A 19,219-nucleotide genomic window follows, 5' to 3' on the forward strand; every position below is an offset into this window, starting at 1 on the left:
CACTAAGGAAAGCAGATGTTTAATTTCATATTTATGGAAAGATGATTTTCAAAATGCCATTAGAGTATATATTAAATTCTATATAAAATATTTTAAAAATATTTTCCAATGTTGAAAATTTTAATGTAGCACTTTTATATTCCCTTCAAGTACTGCATAAAAGCTGATCCACATTGTTTAAATTTCTTGTGTAATTTTGGGAAAATGGAAAGTGGAAAAGAAGCCAGTGTTCATATCCAACTGGAAGGCCGGCCATCCATTTTAGAAATGGTAAGTAAGTCTAAAACATTGACAACTTGGTGGCTAAGTTTACATAAAATCTATAAATTCAGTCATATAGGCAGGATAGTATGAAGGCATTCAACAAATTAAATTTTAAATAAAATTTTGGAGTAAAACTCTAAAACTGTATTTCTATCACTTCAACTATCTACATTGACTAAGTGAAATGGCTTTAGAAATTAACAGGTAATAAAGGCTAAAATAGGCCAGGCACAGTGGCTCATGCCTGTAATCCCAGCACTTTGGGAGGCCAAGGCAGGAGGATCACTTGAGGCCAGGAGTTCGAGACCAGTTGTATTCCTAGGTAGATGTCTGGTGTTATTTCTGAGGTCTCTGTTCTGTTCCATTGGCCTCTGTATCTGTTTTGGTTAGCCTTGTAGTACAGTTTGAAGTCGGGTAGCCTGATGCCTCCAGCTTTCTTTTTGCTTAGGATTGTCTTGACTATATGGGCTCTTTTATGGTTCCATAGGAAATTTAAAGTAGTTTTTTCTAATTCTGTGAAGAAAGTCAATGGTAGCTTGATGGGAGTAGCCTTGAATCTGTAAATTACTTTGGGCAGTATGGCCATTTTCACGATATTGATTCTTCCTATCCATGAGCATAGAATATTTTTTTCCATTTGTTTGTGTCCTCTTATTTCCTTGAGCAGTGGTTTGTAGTGCTCCTTGAAGAGGTCCTTCACATCCCTTGTAAGTTGGATTCCTAGGTATTTTATTCTGTTTGTAGTGAATGGGAATTCACTCATGATTTGGCTCTCTGCTTGTCTATTATTGTATACGAATGCTTGTGACTTTTGCACATTGATTTTTGTATCCTGAGACTTTGCTGAAGTTGCTTATAAGCTTAAGGAGTTTTGGGGCTGAGACCATGGAGTTTTCTAAATATACAATCATGTCACCTGCAAACAATTTGACTTCCTCTCTTCCTATTTGAATACCCTTTGTTGCTTTCTCTTGCCTGATTGCCCTGGCCAGAACTTCCAATACTGTGTTGAATAGGAGTGGTGAGAGAGGGCATCCTTGTCTTGTGACGGTTTTCAAAGGGAATGCTTCCAGTTTTTGCCCATTCAGTATGATATTGGCTATGGGTTTGTCATAAATAGCTCTTATTGAGATATGTTCCATCAACACCTAGTTTATTGAGAGTTTTTAGCATGAAGGGATGATGAATTTTATTGAAGCCCTTTTATTTTAAAAATATAGCTAAGAAGAAAAACTAAGGCTTTCATAAAATCAAATAAAATCAAAATTCAACAACAAAAACATATTTAAATTTTAAAAATAATGAAATATATCTTGGACTTTTTCCTACAAAGGAGCATGTATATTTATGAGGAGTAGTTTGAGATGAAACTAGTTTTATGTGGAGTTCTGTTTTTCAGCTTTCTCATCTGTTCAATATGGATAAATGAGATGATTTTTATAAGCACTTAGTTCATGGAACATAGGAAGCCAAAGGAAATGGCAGCTGTTATGTTCAAGTGGAATTCTTGAAATTGCCAAACAGTGCTTAAGAGGAAGATACACTAGACAGGCAAAGAAGAAATATCCATTTTAGTTTCAACTGTGCTAAAAGCAAAGTCATTGAACCATCAGCAAGTCATTTAACCTTTTGCAGTTTGCCTTATCTTTTTCTCTAGGTCTAGGTTTTCCATCAGTGGCCATAATTGGCATTTTGAACCAGATAATTTTGTTTTGGGGGGTTGTCCTGTGCATTGTAGGATATTTAGTATCATCCTCAGCCTCTATACGCTCACTGCTGGTAGTACCACCTCCCACGTTCTGACACTTGACAGTTTCTTTAGACATTCCTGACTGTCCCTTAGGTGATAAAACCCTCCCTGCTGAGAACCACTGCTCTAGATCTATAGGAAGCTTGTCATTTTTGGCTCTAAAATGTTAAATAACATTTACACAATAGTTTTAAAGGTCATATCCCTCTTTAAGAATCTGACTAAATATATTCTCATCTCCCTCAGCAAATGCACACATGAAAACATCTCCTAAAGATTCTTAGAATTTATAAAGCCCTTCTACAGATCCCCAAGCTTCATGGATTCTGCGTTATAAAATCCTTGCTTTAGATAGTAAAGTTCTGAGTTCATCCACTGATTTTATATTTGAATTCTATAATGTATTTAATTTAGAAAGAAATAAAAAGCCCAAATAAGATAGATTCAATATGCGGTGGTGGGGTGGAGAACAATGGTAAATGGTAACTTACCTCTTTCTGTAGTCTAATATTTAAATCAAGTTATTTGCAAGGTAGCTGTTTAATCAAAGGATTTCAATAAAATGATACTATATAAATTAATACCAAGACCACACTTTGGGAACCAAAGGAGGCACTGCAGTTAATTTTAAGTGGTGAAATAAATTGGGGAAGGTAAATTGTGAAAACCTCTAGCTAGAAGGTAAAGATCCTGATAAATTATGTCTTTATGAAATAAACCAGGCTATGGTGATCCTTCTTTTATTAAACAGGATGAGACTTCAGCACTCAAGTTTGAAATAAGAGCAACAGGTTTTCCAGAGCCAAATCCAAGAGTAATTGAACTAAACAAGGATGAGAATGTTGCGCATGTAAGATTACCCTCTTAACTGCTACATTAAAATTATAGGAAAACACATTTCAAGGGTGTCTATAATTACTTCCTTCTGAGTAACTGAGTTGGGAAAGTAGAGTGTGACCAGCTCATGGAGGGCCCCCAATACTTGGTTGAGAGTTGGCATTTTCCACAACTGGCAGGAGGGAACAATACAGCAGTTCTTTCAGAGAGGTGAATTGGGCAGCAGTGAGAATTGAATAGATTGGAGGAAAAGTCATGGATACAGCCCATTACACTCACTGTTTCTGCTAAACAGTTACCAGTGTTTCCTGCAATTATATTAGAACCAGCAAGAAAATGGGCTGGGCAGTTCTAAATACTACTGGGGATTATGGCAGGGCTTTAAAGGAAATATAAGCAACGTTTTAAACTGATTTTTTTTTTTGGTTTTTGAGTTTTATTTTTCTTAACTCACGTAGGTTCTACTGGAAGGACTACATCATCAAAGACCCAAACGTTATTTCACCATAGTGATTATTTCAAGTAGCTTGCTACTTGGACTTATTGTACTTCTATTGATCTCATATGTTATGTGGAAGGTAAGCATTTAACAATTACCAACATTAGTCTACTAAAAATGACATTTTCTCAAAGCCAATTTGACTTCCAAGTTATTAGATTTAAATATTTCACTATTTGAATGTTAACTTTTTATGTTGCTCAGTACTGATCTCACATTTCTCTTCAACACCAAAGTCTTTCTAGAAAAATATGCATTCTTAATTTGTTTTGAAAGACAGACGTTCCTTTTAAAAAACCATTTGGAAAAGATTGCAAATTACACGGAATGTCAATTTTGGAGAGAATGTGGTGTGTATCACTGAGAATTTCTGCATTAAAAACAAAAATGTTTCTTTAACCCAGTATGTCCCCACTAATTTTTACTGATTACCTCTGTTAAACCTTTATGACTGATGTTACAAGGGATGCAGTTTAAGAAATATTGGTGTTAACTGCTTAGATATTAGAAATGAGTATAGTAGATAAGAGAGTGTTCATAACTATACACTAGTGATTATGTTATGCTATTTTCAGGCTGGCTTCTTTAAAAGACAATACAAATCTATCCTACAAGAAGAAAACAGAAGAGACAGTTGGAGTTATATCAACAGTAAAAGCAATGATGATTAAGGACTTCTTTCAAATTGAGAGAATGGAAAACAGACTCAGGTTGTAGTAAAGAAATTTAAAAGACACTGTTTACAAGAAAAAATGAATTTTGTTTGGACTTCTTTTACTCATGATCTTGTGACATATTATGTCTTCATGCAAGGGGAAAATCTCAGCAATGATTACTCTTTGAGATAGAAGAACTGCAAAGGTAATAATACAGCCAAAGATAATCTCTCAGCTTTTAAATGGGTAGAGAAACACTAAAGCATTCAATTTATTCAAGAAAAGTAAGCCCTTGAAGATATCTTGAAATGAAAGTATAACTGAGTTAAATTATACTGGAGAAGTCTTAGACTTGAAATACTACTTACCATATGTGCTTGCCTCAGTAAAATGAACCCCACTGGGTGGGCAGAGGTTCATTTCAAATACATCTTTGATACTTGTTCAAAATATGTTCTTTAAAAATATAATTTTTTAGAGAGCTGTTCCCAAATTTTCTAACGAGTGGACCATTATCACTTTAAAGCCCTTTATTTATAATACATTTCCTACGGGCTGTGTTCCAACAACCATTTTTTTTCAGCAGACTATGAATATTATAGTATTATAGGCCAAACTGGCAAACTTCAGACTGAACATGTACACTGGTTTGAGCTTAGTGAAATTACTTCTGGATAATTATTTTTTTATAATTATGGATTTCACCATCTTTCTTTCTGTATATATACATGTGTTTTTATGTAGGTATATATTTACCATTCTTCCTATCTATTCTTCCTATAACACACCTTTATCAAGCATACCCAGGAGTAATCTTCAAATCTTTTGTTATATTCTGAAACAAAAGATTGTGAGTGTTGCACTTTACCTGATACACGCTGATTTAGAAAATACAGAAACCATACCTCACTAATAACTTTAAAATCAAAGCTGTGCAAAGACTAGGGGGCCTATACTTCATATGTATTATGTACTATGTAAAATATTGACTATCACACAACTATTTCCTTGGATGTAATTCTTTGTTACCCTTTACAAGTATAAGTGTTACCTTACATGGAAACGAAGAAACAAAATTCATAAATTTAAATTCATAAATTTAGCTGAAAGATACTGATTCAATTTGTATACAGTGAATATAAATGAGACGACAGCAAAATTTTCATGAAATGTAAAATATTTTTATAGTTTGTTCATACTATATGAGGTTCTATTTTAAATGACTTTCTGGATTTTAAAAAATTTCTTTAAATACAATCATTTTTGTAATATTTATTTTATGCTTATGATCTAGATAATTGCAGAATATCATTTTATCTGACTCTGCCTTCATAAGAGAGCTGTGGCCGAATTTTGAACATCTGTTATAGGGAGTGATCAAATTAGAAGGCAATGTGGAAAAACAATTCTGGGAAAGATTTCTTTATATGAAGTCCCTGCCACTAGCCAGCCATCCTAATTGATGAAAGTTATCTGTTCACAGGCCTGCAGTGATGGTGAGGAATGTTCTGAGATTTGCGAAGGCATTTGAGTAGTGAAATGTAAGCACAAAACCTCCTGAACCCAGAGTGTGTATACACAGGAATAAACTTTATGACATTTATGTATTTTTAAAAAACTTTGTATCGTTATAAAAAGGCTAGTCATTCTTTCAGGAGAACATCTAGGATCATAGATGAAAAATCAAGCCCCGATTTAGAACTGTCTTCTCCAGGATGGTCTCTAAGGAAATTTACATTTGGTTCTTTCCTACTCAGAACTACTCAGAAACAACTATATATTTCAGGTTATCTGAGCACAGTGAAAGCAGAGTACTATGGTTGTCCAACACAGGCCTCTCAGATACAAGGGGAACACAATTACATATTGGGCTAGATTTTGCCCAGTTCAAAATAGTATTTGTTATCAACTTACTTTGTTACTTGTATCATGAATTTTAAAACCCTACCACTTTAAGAAGACAGGGATGGGTTATTCTTTTTTGGCAGGTAGGCTATATAACTATGTGATTTTGAAATTTAACTGCTCTGGATTAGGGAGCAGTGAATCAAGGCAGACTTATGAAATCTGTATTATATTTGTAACAGAATATAGGAAATTTAACATAATTGATGAGCTCAAATCCTGAAAAATGAAAGAATCCAAATTATTTCAGAATTATCTAGGTTAAATATTGATGTATTATGATGGTTGCAAAGTTTTTTTGTGTGTCCAATAAACACATTGTAAAAAAAAGAATTTGAATTGATATCTAAAAACAGAATTTGAATTGATATTTCATCTTGACTTTTAAAGCCCTAGAGGCTAATTGTTAGTAACATCAATTTCTATTAGGATATCCGTTTGGCCACACAGCAGGAGGTTAGAGCAATGGAGCATTACTGAGTTCCTCCCCCTGTCAGATCAGCAGCAGCATTAGATTCTCATAGAAGTGCGAACCATATGGTGAACTGGTATGTGAGGGATCTAGAGTGCCATGTTCCTCAAGAGAATCTAATGCCTGATGATCTGAGGTGGAACAGTTCATCCTGAAACCATTCCCCCATCCACGGAAAAATTGTCTTCCATGAAACTGGTCCCAAAAAGGGTGGGGACCACAGGTTTAAAGCATGGCCACATTTCTTTATATTAAAATTCTAGTTTGTACATTTCTTTTAGAAACAATTACATGTTACTTTGGAATCATTTCTTCCATGCTTCCTCCATAAAGACTGATAAGTCTTGGATGCAATCTGTAAAGAAAATACATTATTTCATCAACTTATTTTGTTGTTTTTCACATACACCTAATAAGTATGGTACACAATGCCAATGCCAAATACAAATTGATAACAAACACAGCATTCCCAACAGAGCTGTAATCTAGAAAACTGAGAAGGTCTGATTGATAAATCATCAACAACAATAATTGCTCTAAAACCTCCTTAACTGACTTCCTTGATTGTCCAATGCTCTCCATTACCTCTGTAAAACAGTCAGTTATGCCTCTAGAACACCCATGTCTAGTGGGCACCCCTGCATGCTTCTTCTAACCACTGAGTGTCACAATGCCTACCAAGAATGCGTTTGCAGGTTCCTAAACCTGTTTATACCAGTTGCTATGTAAAATTGTTCCCAAGGGAAGTTGAATGCTCTGTAAAGGCCTAATAAAAGCAAATTACTGAACAAAACATGTTACAGTAATTATGAGTGAGAGGAAACTAAGATGGAAGGATAAAAATCTAACACTTTACTATTCAGATGGCTCCACTAAAAGATTTAAGATCTTGATCCATTTTTAAAAATCCAAAATGGAAGTTGTAGACATTATCTGTAGTTTATGCACAACAATAAATTAGAAAGCCAATGTAGACACGCATAACCAAAGAAAATGCCTTGGGTCTACATAACAGTTGAATAAATGTAAAGTTGCTTTTTATTTATTGAAATTTGTGCATGTCTCTTTATGCTTCCCTGATTTACTGATTTTTTAAAAACTAACCAACTGCCTGCTTTGATAGTTCAGAGAAGAGAGCTTTCGTTGTAATATTAGATTTATGTTTACTGGTTGACAATAAGCGGTGAAATAAATAGACTTACCTAATATGGACCTCTGATGCAACTTCCATTAAGTCACCATCTACATTCCAAGGGAAACAATTTTCTGAAGCAGTTTCATCCTCCTCCTCCTCTGGATTATATCCACCAGTATTATTCCTTGGATGAACTTTTACTTCCTCAACAGTGTAAGTCTCAACAAATGGAAAATTGAACTAAAAATAAATACAAATAATCATTATACTTGGTTTATCTCTAGCTACTAACGCGAATCAAAGTTCACTGAGCCCTCTCTCACAAGTAAATATCAGCATGTATGCTGACATTTTAATAGCTTTGAGACTATGAACAGGGATCTCCAACTTTTTTTGGAAGAAGGAATCTCTTATCCAAAGCCTTTTGGGTTCTTTTAGATCTAGCACCTAGAAATCTTGTTTTATGACAAATAGTACATATCTGTGAGAAGTTACATAAAATAGTGATACTGTAGATTTTTCAATTAAAGATAATCTTTAATACTGGCCTGTAGATACAGAAGACATATAATCCATTATCAACTTGTCAATTAGTTTAGCTGACATAAAGCAAACTAGTACAAGTTTCACACTTGGAATTTAATTTGGAAGAACGCAAGTCTAAACTTCTGAAGATAAAATGGGATGTATGTCTTCTTTTAAAAGAGAAAGCCAATCAAATATGGATTTTAAAAGGTGTTTGCCTGCCCCATTCCCACTTTAACAATGGACACAAGCTGCAAGATCACTGTTTACTTACCACTATAGAATGGTGCAAGGTAAACTTCAACTTGCGTTTTTTCTTGTTTGCCTAAGGAAACTATACTGAAAAAGCACTATGTATTTTCTGACATAATTAAGAAAATATAGCCAAATAACTTGAGCAGAAATGTATAACTACTCATTTCAGTTTTCAGAAAAATGACATGAGATACATTCCTAATTAAACATCATCTACATAGTTTTTCCCCTTTTCCACATGTAAACCTCAATGAAACAGTTTTAAAAGTTGACAGAAAACTAATATTTTCCCCAACACCCATATTTTACATATGTAGATACCAAGGTCCAGCCAACTTTCCAGTTTATACTGTAAACACAGTTAAACAGTAGATGATATGATGGCATCAGCTGTTGTGACTGAGGTACAGAATTAGAGGGCCCCAAGCAAAACTGTTTGACAGTAACTGCGTTAGACCTCCTACCTCGGGTATAAAGCCTTGGCTACATGCCTCATCCTTGTAGAATTATCTACATAATCATTCATGTTAGTTGATAATTCATTTAAAACACACAACTGCCTGTTATGATCTAAATTATATTTCCCTCCACCACCCCAACTATGTTCAAGTCCTAACCCCTGGTACCTGTGAATGTCCCCTGTTTAGAAATAGGGTCTTTGCAGGTAGAATCAACTTAAGATGAAGTCATTAGGGCGGGACCTAATCCAATATGACTGATGTCCTTATGAGAGAAGAATGCCAAGGATGGCAGAGTCAGAGACTGGAGGGATGCAGCTGTAAGCCAAGGAATGTCAAGAATTGACAGCCACCACCAGTAAGTCTATTATCTTAAATCAGCAGTTGTCATGTGCACTCCTCACAAAATGAAGATCTAGCCATCCTTCAAATGCTTTAACTGTGAAGCCACAGACGCTGTTAAGTGGGACTTTCGGGAGCCAAGAGCTTAGTATCCTGTGTGAGGGTATGTTTGGGGCACGGGGAGGAGAAGTAAACAGTTACAATTTTGATACAGGGGAGTGCCATGATGGTGCAAGTGTGGAGTTCAACAGAGGAAACAAGAGGAGGCAAACAGGCTATGGATGTTGGGAAAGCTTCCCATTTGAATTGAGCCTTAAAGAACATATAAGATTTAGCCTGGAGAAGAAAGTCTGGAGAGAGGAAGCATTTACAAAACTAGAGGCAAACCATGGTCAAGCAACTACACAGAATTCAGTGTGACTCCTAGGTGCTCAACATCATGCCCCTTGGCCCTCAAATTCCTGTATTGAAATCCTCGCTCTGTATACCTCAGAACATAACTATATTTGGAGATAAGATCTTTAAAGAGACGATTAAGCTAAAATGATGTCTTTAGGCCCTCATCCAATACGACTGGTGTCCTTATAAGAAGAGGAAATTTGGACATAGGAAAAGGCATCGGGGATGAACAGAGGAAAGACCACTCACTTGTGGGTGCTGTGAGAAAGCAGCCATGTGCCAGCCAGAGAGAGAAGACTCAGGACAAACCAAACCTGCTGACATTGTCTTGCAGCTCTAGCCTCCAGAACCATGAAAGAAATACATTTCTGTTTGTTTAAGCCATCTTTTCTGTGGTATTTGTTATGGCAACCTTAGCCAATGAATAAAATGCCAAAACACTGGGAATGTGGTGGAGGGTGGTAATAAGAGGTGGGGTTGCAACACAGGCAGGGACCTGGATACAAAGGCCACGTGTTCCAGACTGAGGATATTCCATATTATTCTGACAACAAGAGAAAGGCACTGAAGAATTAAGCAGGAGAGAAATCCAATGTGTGTCTTAGAAAAAAGTTTCTCTAAAAAGAGGTATGGAAGACAAGACCAGAGAACCTGAAGGCCAAAAGGAGGCTACTGTAAGCAAGAAAGGATTAAAGTTTGAATTAAGGTGAGGGAGAAATTTTAGAAACATTTAAGAGGAGACCAACAGAACAAGTTAGGGGACTGGTAGTGAGGAATGAGGAAGAAGGAACAGTTCAGGGTAACCTGGATGGGTAGAAAGTGGTGCCATTGACCCGCACAGAGCAACGCAGAAGGAACAACTTTAGGGGAAAAGATAAGGTCGGCTGTAGACATGTTGGCCTCCAGATGCCGGTGAATTTCAGAACCTCTTCAGCATACAAGAAGACAGAGGTCCTGCAGATAAGACGAGATGACAGAACCCTTGGGAGTGCATGATGTTCAGACAGTTCAAAAGTGAGGGGCAATGAGGCCATCCAGGAGACGGCATCCTGAGAAGATGAGAGGGCTGCAAAGAAATCCTGGGGGAAGCACTCACATTTAAGGTTTTAAACTCCCTACCAAAAATGGTCACAATGAAAGAGAAAAGTGTGGACAGTGAGAAGGGGGGCAAAGCAATAGGATGGAGCTGCAAGGACTTTGAAGGGTAGTGTTCAGCCTCTATCTAATTTTACACAGAGATGGGGAAGGAACAGGAGCCACTCCGCACATGGTGGTTTCAATCTATTTTACAGTGTTATACAGTAACATTCGCTTATTCAACCTGGTAAAAATGGTTCAGAGAAGCAGATGTTACTCTCCTTAAACTGAATTGCCACATTTTCCTTCCTGAATACCAGCACTGCTATGAATTATGCAGTAGACATGATTTTTACATAGATCTGATTTTCATAATCTTACAAAATTTATATAAATTCACATTTTTAATGTCACCATGAAGGAAAGAGCCTAAATAAACACACCTGTGTGGATAATTAACAAATCAAATTAACATTGCTTGAAAGCAGTCACCCTGGGAATCAATCTTTCTTACTATATACACTATGCAAAATATTTTAGAATTCTTTGCAAAAAAAAAAAAAATAGCATGGATTTTAATTTTTGAAAGTTGATAAATAAATCAGAGTTAAGGCCAGTGAATCACACACAGGCAACTGTTTCTTGTGTCAAAAGCAAGATATGCCTCGTAGAGTACATGAGAAAATATGATAAATCCTGCATAATATTATCTCTTAGAAAACGTCTTCCTATCGATACAGATTTTTATTATTTTCTGTATGTCTGTCTTTATGTGTAAGGTAACCATTGCTTTTAAAATCAGAAGAAAGGTATATTGATTTAAAAAAATGAAGAAGAAGAATGTTTACAAAAATTGCCTGAGAGACTTGCCCCATAGGCAATTTCAAAAGAGACCTTCCATAAACAATTTGTGCAACATACACCTCCCCAAAATAAATACAGAACTTCTCAGGGGTACATTAATAGGTTAATACTATTTAAGTTCTCAAATAGAGGTACATGAATGAGGTTAATACTTACTTTACTTCTCATTTATTTAATAAAAAAGGATTCGGAAAAAATTCTACCAAGGTAATGACACTAATCTTGAGGAACATGGAATTTTGAGTGCTTTAAAATCATTTTCTTGTTTCTATTTTCTGACTTAAAAACAGCAATGAATATATAGTGCTTTGGGTTTTTTAAAAATTGGTTTTAATGTTTAGAAATTTATTAAAATGTGAAAGGGCATATATTCCTTTGAAAATCAATAAATCTCCATATTCCACCCAAACACATACATAAAACTGTTATGTAGGCTCACAACCTACATTATACCTGCTGATCTACTTTGACATATAAAGAAAGTGGGACTGTAATTTTTTATGATTTAAGTTCCTAAGCAGCCCAGTTAGTTGTTCAATACATGAGGATCAAATAATGTTACTGACAGATCAAACTTCATGAAGATGGCCTAAGAAAGTTTTAAAATATAATGAGGCAAAAATGGAGAGACTTGCTATGGCTAAGGTACATAAGCAAGGTTCAGCTGCCAGTCATTGGCTGGGTTTACTCTCCTCCTCCTCCCGTCTGTTATCTCCCAACTCTATCCAAGCACCATTTTATACCTTTAAGAATGTGTGGGCCGGACGTGGTGGCTCACGCCTGTAATCCCAGCACTTTGGGAGGCCGAGGTGGACACATCACGAGGTCAGGAGTTTCGAGACCAGCCTGACCAACATGGTGAAACCCTGTCTCTACCAAAAATATAAAAATTAGCTGGGCATGGAGGTGTGAGCCTGTAATCCCACCTACTCGGGAGGCTGAGGCAGGAGAATCGCTTGAACGTGGGAGGTGGAGGTTGCAGTGAGCAGACATCACGCCACTGCACTCCAGCCTGGGTGACACAGCAAGGCTCTAACTCAAAAAAAAAAAAAAAAAGAAAGAAAAAGAAAAAGTGTGAAACTATAGGGTTTTACAACCATACCTATGTACTTCAAAGACTCACAATTTCAGAAATTCACATAGTTCAAGGATCATTTTCCTAATAATCAGGTCAAAACAGCTGCCAAAATAATATGGCTTGTAATAGTTACTGTTTCTCTTTAAAGCAAATCACTTAAGTGGAAATGTATATCTTCACATATTCTCATTTTGAATGAATATTTGTATAAAACTGTCATATTTTTAAATACATATCTACAGATCTATTTCAATCAATGCAGATATGCAAACAAATGTCAGGAAGATCTAAAGATCATAACTTTAGAAAGTCTGCTGCCATAATATCAAGAAGGCTAAACTCTCAAATTTCACTTCTTTTCATTCTGAAGAACAGCCTGAGTATGGAATTTTATCCTTAATTTATTTCACATTGCAATATAACACTACATTTCCTATTTTATCTTTGTGGTTACAGATACATAACCACTAATTCATCATTCAAAAAAGGCCAATCTATATTAATCCTGGCGGATGCTTTTCAAAATTTGGATGAAATAGATTGGGAAAAAGAAGATTAATATATTCAGAAGAAAATAAAACCTTCTTATGAGGCAGGATTCGATGTCAATTCTTGCAGCATCTTTTTCTACATGATTAATAGCTTTGCAAATAAGTAACAAAAAGAATTTACTATACCTGATTTTTTACACTGGCATATCTTTTCAGGTGTTTTATAAATTCTGGCCGAGAAGTGTTTCGGGCAATTATAAGAGCCATACTTCCATTATTTAATCTGAAATTAAATATTTCTATTAGACATCAAGAAATTTACTAAGAGATTATACCAAAAATTATGACATACTGTTCCTTATAACAAGTATACTGTTTACTGAAAGTATTGGACAAGATAGATAAATCACCATGTTACGTTTACCTAAAATTCATAAACCGTATCTTGCTATTTTTTAAATGATGCAGGCTTTCAAATGAGTTTTATTAAATCACTGGCTTCCTTCTCAATAAGCTCTTACATTAGAGCATTTTACAAAGCAAACCATCAAGCGTCCTACTCACATATCAAGACATAATTTAAAATACAATGTAATTAGAAATTCTAAATGTGAAACTATGTTGTTAAAAGATGTATTATAGAAGAGTTAATATGCACAAGTTGTGTAACAAATAGCTCAACATTTTCTAAAATCTAAAGTGTGATTTAAATATTTATTTATAGACAGAAGGTCTAAGTGACATAGGAAATGAAATAAATCAAAGTGGCCTTTGGATGGATGAAATGGAGTGAACAAATGCTGCCACACATGTTCAGTTAAATGACTGAACATTTTAATCTTGCATAACTGTTCCATCCAATATAAGAGAGTGAAAATTCAGAGGTGTGATTTAGTGCCAAAACAGCCACTCACAAATGCATCAAGCTATAGAATGCAGTTTGCAGAAATACATACAAATGACTTCTAGCTTGATTTCAGTGCAAACATGAAGTTAATTTAAGAATAACAACAAAATAAAAAAAGAGCTCTTAGTATCTTATGAAAGCTCAAGTCAGAGCTGTAAGGGACCTTAGAGATTATCTCATCATTCGCTCATTTCATGTAGAGGGAAAAGACAACTCCAAGTTTAAGTGATTTGTTCAAAGGCACACAGAGAAAAAATGGTCATCAGCACCAATACTCCAGGTGCTCAGTATGCTTTCCATCATGCTTCTTCTTCCCAATTAAAAATAAACAGCACCAAAACGTTCATGGTAGTGTTACTGTGCATCTTTAATTGCATAATTTATAAACATTAAAAGCACTATCCTATGCCTGCTTTGCAATATTTACTTGAAATAGAAACACAACTTACATGGCTGGCACTGCTTTAAATGTCTCACATATATGAACACATTTAATCTTAGAATACTTAGAATATAAGAATATTAGTTCCTACTGGCAATTTGCACTGAGATATTCTAACATAAATTATTATTTATCATGGTGGGGGAAAAAGAAGAAAGTGAAATCTCCTGTTCAATCATCCTGAATCATCAGAAGCTACATCTCTGAAAAATCTCCGGTCAAATGAGTCTTGATCAAAAGGTCTTTGCAAAGATGGCATGTTGTGATTATAAACCACAGAAGAAATCTCTAATTAGTCATCCTTCTCTGAAAAATTCATTAATACTGATTAAGCCTGCAGAGTCAACAGTGGAATTCTAGTCAAGCAGAACATTTATGGAGTGGCTTTGAAGGAGCTATGAATCGATTGTTCCCAGAAGAGCAGGTCTACCCTCCCAAGAAGGTCCTTAAACAAACAGGGTTAGATAAACATTGTCTCAAGTCCTGCCAAACATAGCTCCTTGGTCAGCTAGCCACGTCTTCAAGTTTAGTCAGGGAAACTACATTATGAAAGCACACAGCTATCTAGGATTTCTGAAGGTGTCGGGGAAAACCACCAGGCTCAATTTCTAAATCACACAAGGTTCAAAATACTCCTTTGAAGTTTTAGCACTAGATGTAATTAATGAGGACCTTGCCATCTGGGTTTTCAATATCGAAGTTTGCAGTTTCTCTTTTTTCTTCTCTAACTTTGAATATTTCCCCGTTTATTGCCTATATTTCACAACACTCACGATCCTTTCTCCTACACTCTACAGGATTGGATTCAGGAAAGAAATATTTTCAGCCCCATAATGGACAGCTGATTAAGAAGAATGTGCAAGAGAAGGAATGTCTATATCCCATGGATAAAAAGATATATATAAGATGTCTCATATTTTATTCAATTGAAAATGTGGGCAGGAGATTGATATGCACTACTATTCACATTAAATAGAACTGAAATGTTTCTTTTGACTAAAAGTATCTGATATGGTTTGGCTTTGTGTTCCCACTCAAATCTCATCTTGTAGCTCTCATAATTCCCATGTGTTGTGGGAGAGACCTGGTGGGAGATAACTGAATCATGGGGGTGGGTCTTTCCTGTGCTGCTCTCATGGTAATGAATAAGTCTCATGAGATCTAATGGTTTTAAAAATAGGAGTTTCCCTGCACAAGCTCTCTTGTCTGCCGCCATGTGAGATGTGACTTTCATCTTCCACCATGATTGTGGAGCCTCCCCAGCAACGTGGAACTGTAAGTCCATTAAACCTCTTTCTTTTGTAAATTACCCAGTCTCGGGTATGTCTTTATCAGCAGCATGAAAACAGACTAATACAGTATCAAATATACATATGTGTGATTTTCATGCTAAGGATATTTATGTTTGCATTAAAGTTGGAAAGCAAAGACATTCACAAGAAATATCAGTATTTAATATAATGTTCTCCACAACTAAATGAATAAATCAAGTAAAGTAGGCATAAAATTCTATCAATAAAACTTAGGAAATATTATTTTAGCCTCAGTGACGTTAAATAGTCAATGATTATCTGATAATTATTCCAGTTCAACAGTTGTTCTCAACCTACTGTGATGACAAATCCCTTAGAATCTCTAATATACAAAGATAAACTACCTGTTAAGTTTCTAGCTAACCAACAGTTAATTGGATACCCTGGAAAAAAAATGGTCTATAAGAAATGTATCAACAATTCAATAAAAATGCTTACTAACCTGGTATTAGGTGCCAAGCCTCTAGGTGCCACTGAACACAGGCAAGGAATTGCCATAATGCTGACATTCAAGAACTGACCCTGGATCATTTGCCATTGATCATTACAGTCTAAAGGTAATGAAAGTGATTGGTTATTTTCCCTCACCAGAACAAAATGTCAACAGAACCTGGCACAGTTCTCAAGGAGATACTTTTCGACTCACCAGATTTGGGAGATCCCTGTGCCCTCCTAAAAGAAAGAAAACAAAACAAAGACATAAAACAGATAACGCGCGCACAGACACACAGACACACACAAATCTATTAAATATGAGAAAATTAGAGAACTCATCATTATATATGTTAAATACTTTCTTCAATTAGATAGTAAGTAAAAACGTACAATTTTGTTGCTGCCAACATAATGTGTTGATTCATTTAAAGGTAAACTAGTATTATAAGGAATAATAATGTACTATTTCTTTAAAGACTATAACCCTTCTTTAATATGGCTTTAATATTTGTATTACACACTAGACCAAAATTATCACGAGGGACAAAACTGTGTGTTTTGTTCATTTTTTGGTGCATTGTTGTATTCAAAGTGCCTGGCATATAGTAGGCACTCAAAAGAAAAGGGAAAGGGAAAAGGAAAGAAAGGGAAAAAAACAAAGGAAAGGAAAGAAAGGGGAAGGGAAGGGAAAAAGAGAACGGAAGGAGGGAGGGAGAGACAGGGGGAAGGAAGGGAGGAAAGAAGGAAGGAAAAAGAGAAAAAGGCTGAGTGAGTAGTTGTTTGCTTACTAGGACCTGTAAGAGTCTGTGATTCTATATTCTTTACTACTATGTTAGAAAAATAACCAAAGATCCTAAGTCTGATCAATTGTTTGTCAGAATGTTTTATGCTTTAAAGATACAGGTTATCTGTATTACATTGAGTTTTTACCTACCTTTCTTGCACATCATCAGAGCTGTTAAATGGTAAAAATGATATTTCACAGTCTTCTGCCCTAAAATGTAATGAAATTTGTTATTAACAGTCATTGAACCTGGGATACAATTTTTGGTTTAAGAAAAAGACTTACTTAAGTTTTGCCAGTGCCTTAACAACAGCAAAATCTCTCCGTTGGTTAGGGGACATCCATCGATATTTTTCTGCCAGAGCCAAAGTTCTTCCACCAAAGCCAAACATGGCTGAGAACCCAAAGCGAAGAAGCTTGCCAGCGGTGCTGAAGGTGCAGACGTCGACCAGCTGTACATGCCCTTGAATATTACATTAAATATTAATCAGTGAGTACAGTAGGACTTGTATCAAAACAGCAAACATAAGAGAGCATATTTATTGGCTTATAGGAGAATATCTAAAGGTACTGTAGACCATGAACATCCTCACTTTCTCTTCAGTTCCCTTTACCTATAACTACAATAATTACCATTTTTAACTTGTTCAGGTACTAGTGAAGAAACACAGAGTACTAAATTTTTCAGCTTATTGCTATTTCCTATAAAACATGGTCAAAGAAACGAAGTTAAAGTAGATAGGCAAGGTAAACACAGATTTAACAGTAGTTTAGTGTTACATATACCTGAGCTTATATGCTTTTTACCAATAGGGATAATAAAATATCTATAGACATCTACTGGCTGAAATTTTTTTCTGGTTATGTTTTTTCATTAATAACATAATCCTAGTCCTAGAGTCTTGGTACAGTCCTACATCAGTGTTGGATATACTTAAGGAGTATTCATTAATGTTCTTCATCTGGTTATAAAATTATAATTTTGAGCACACTACAATATTTTTTTTCTGTACAGATTACAATAAAACTTCATTTACTGCTCTTTACAAAGCAAGTATTTTGAAAAGACAGGCAATCCACATAGTAAAGCATTGCCTTTTGGTTTTTTAGTCAAACATTTCTCTACTCTAAGAGACAAAGAACCTGCCTTTTCTTAAAGTCTGATGGAAATAAGATGGCCTTCCTTATATAAATCAACATTTCCTTATAAAATATGAACTGCTTTGGAAGAATTCTTACCCATTATAATGTGCAATGTTGCAGTTATCACATGAGGAACTCCATGAAGAGAATGTGCCAATACATTGGTAGATCCTGCCAAAGCAATTTTAAAACATGCACTATTAGGGTAGAATGTGTTCAAACTAACATTTGCTTTTACTTTATGTAGATGTCATTCTTCAATGTTCAGATGAAAAATAAACGAGAATTTATAAAATCAGGAAAGTTAATGTGAATATTAGAAGTTTAAGTTCTTATTCACAGTATAGATGCACATCAAATGTCTACACATTTGTTCAATATTTAAAATACTTAGAAATTTAAAAATAGTTTATAGTAACCGCTTACAGCTTTTTTGATCACGAATGTCTATTTTCTACCTCCCAAATGCTAGCTATATCAAAGCCCACTCCATCCCAACCTTAATGAATGGGTTTTTAGCTTCAATGCCAAAATGAGGTGCCTCTGGGGAGCAGTGACAAATGCATACATAAATAAAAGAGAAAATAATCCAAATAATAACTCAGAAAAATAAAATAACTACAAACTACAAAAAATATGCTCTAAACACATTTAATGAATCTTAGAGGTAAGCTCTTAGCCAAATGAGAATCCCCTCTGTTATCTGACAAATGTCTCCTACATTGAAGAAAATGTTTAATTCAATTGTATTTCCCATGTATGAAGATTTGTATTTGAAACATTATGATTTCTGATTTTCATGATTATTAGAATTTAAGACACACCTGGATTTTCCCCACCAGTCCACAGAGGCAAAGAGCGCCCTAAGTCAGGCCCCTTTAATGTTTATGTGTAACTGAAATCTGAGATACAGGGGACTATACCAGCTAGCCCTTCCCATTCCCAGGAGGCTAAAGAGAATTTAAAATTATTAAGAACAGAATGAATGAAGCTACAATTTTTCTTGAATTAAAGAATATAATAAGTAAGTCCAATAATAGCCAAGAGCTGTGAAACCATGCATGTGGTGTGTTCCGGTTATGAAGGCAAAGACCAGTCCTCTGGATTTTGTTAATCAGAAGCATTCCTATGTGATCATACATAATTGCTTCAATTTGTGTTACTTTGAACTGATATGTACTTGGGTTG

General features: G+C 35.3%; 2 protein-coding genes across 8 annotated transcripts in view; one reads left to right on the forward strand and one right to left on the reverse strand.

The window, feature by feature from the left end:
- Window positions 1–7,434, forward strand: part of ITGA4 (integrin subunit alpha 4) — an 81,736-nt gene extending 74,302 nt beyond the window's left edge. Inside the window, exons 25-28 of the mRNA NM_000885.6 lie at window positions 151–270; window positions 2,766–2,864; window positions 3,310–3,429; window positions 3,926–7,434. Coding sequence (NP_000876.3) covers window positions 151–270; window positions 2,766–2,864; window positions 3,310–3,429; window positions 3,926–4,021 — 435 coding nt within the window. The 3' untranslated portion in view covers window positions 4,022–7,434. The remainder of the gene's footprint in view (window positions 1–150; window positions 271–2,765; window positions 2,865–3,309; window positions 3,430–3,925) is intronic.
- Window positions 5,166–19,219, reverse strand: part of CERKL (CERK like autophagy regulator) — a 120,434-nt gene continuing 106,380 nt past the window's right edge. For all 7 annotated transcript variants that reach the window (NR_027689.2, NR_027690.2, NM_001030312.3 and 4 more), the window contains 8 exons: window positions 18,128–18,202; window positions 17,174–17,351; window positions 17,039–17,098; window positions 16,316–16,341; window positions 16,112–16,220; window positions 13,194–13,290; window positions 7,586–7,758; window positions 5,166–6,738 (listed from right to left, as the gene is read on the reverse strand). Coding sequence is in view for 5 of the 7 variants with exons in the window: in NM_001030312.3 (NP_001025483.1) it covers window positions 6,678–6,738; window positions 7,586–7,758; window positions 13,194–13,290; window positions 16,112–16,220; window positions 16,316–16,341; window positions 17,039–17,098; window positions 17,174–17,351; window positions 18,128–18,202 (779 nt within the window). In the remaining 2 variants the exon portion in view is untranslated. The remainder of the gene's footprint in view (window positions 6,739–7,585; window positions 7,759–13,193; window positions 13,291–16,111; window positions 16,221–16,315; window positions 16,342–17,038; window positions 17,099–17,173; window positions 17,352–18,127; window positions 18,203–19,219) is intronic.

Source organism: Homo sapiens, chromosome 2 (genome assembly GCF_000001405.40).
Source record: "Homo sapiens chromosome 2, GRCh38.p14 Primary Assembly".
In the NCBI taxonomy this organism is placed as follows: Eukaryota; Metazoa; Chordata; class Mammalia; order Primates; family Hominidae; genus Homo; species Homo sapiens.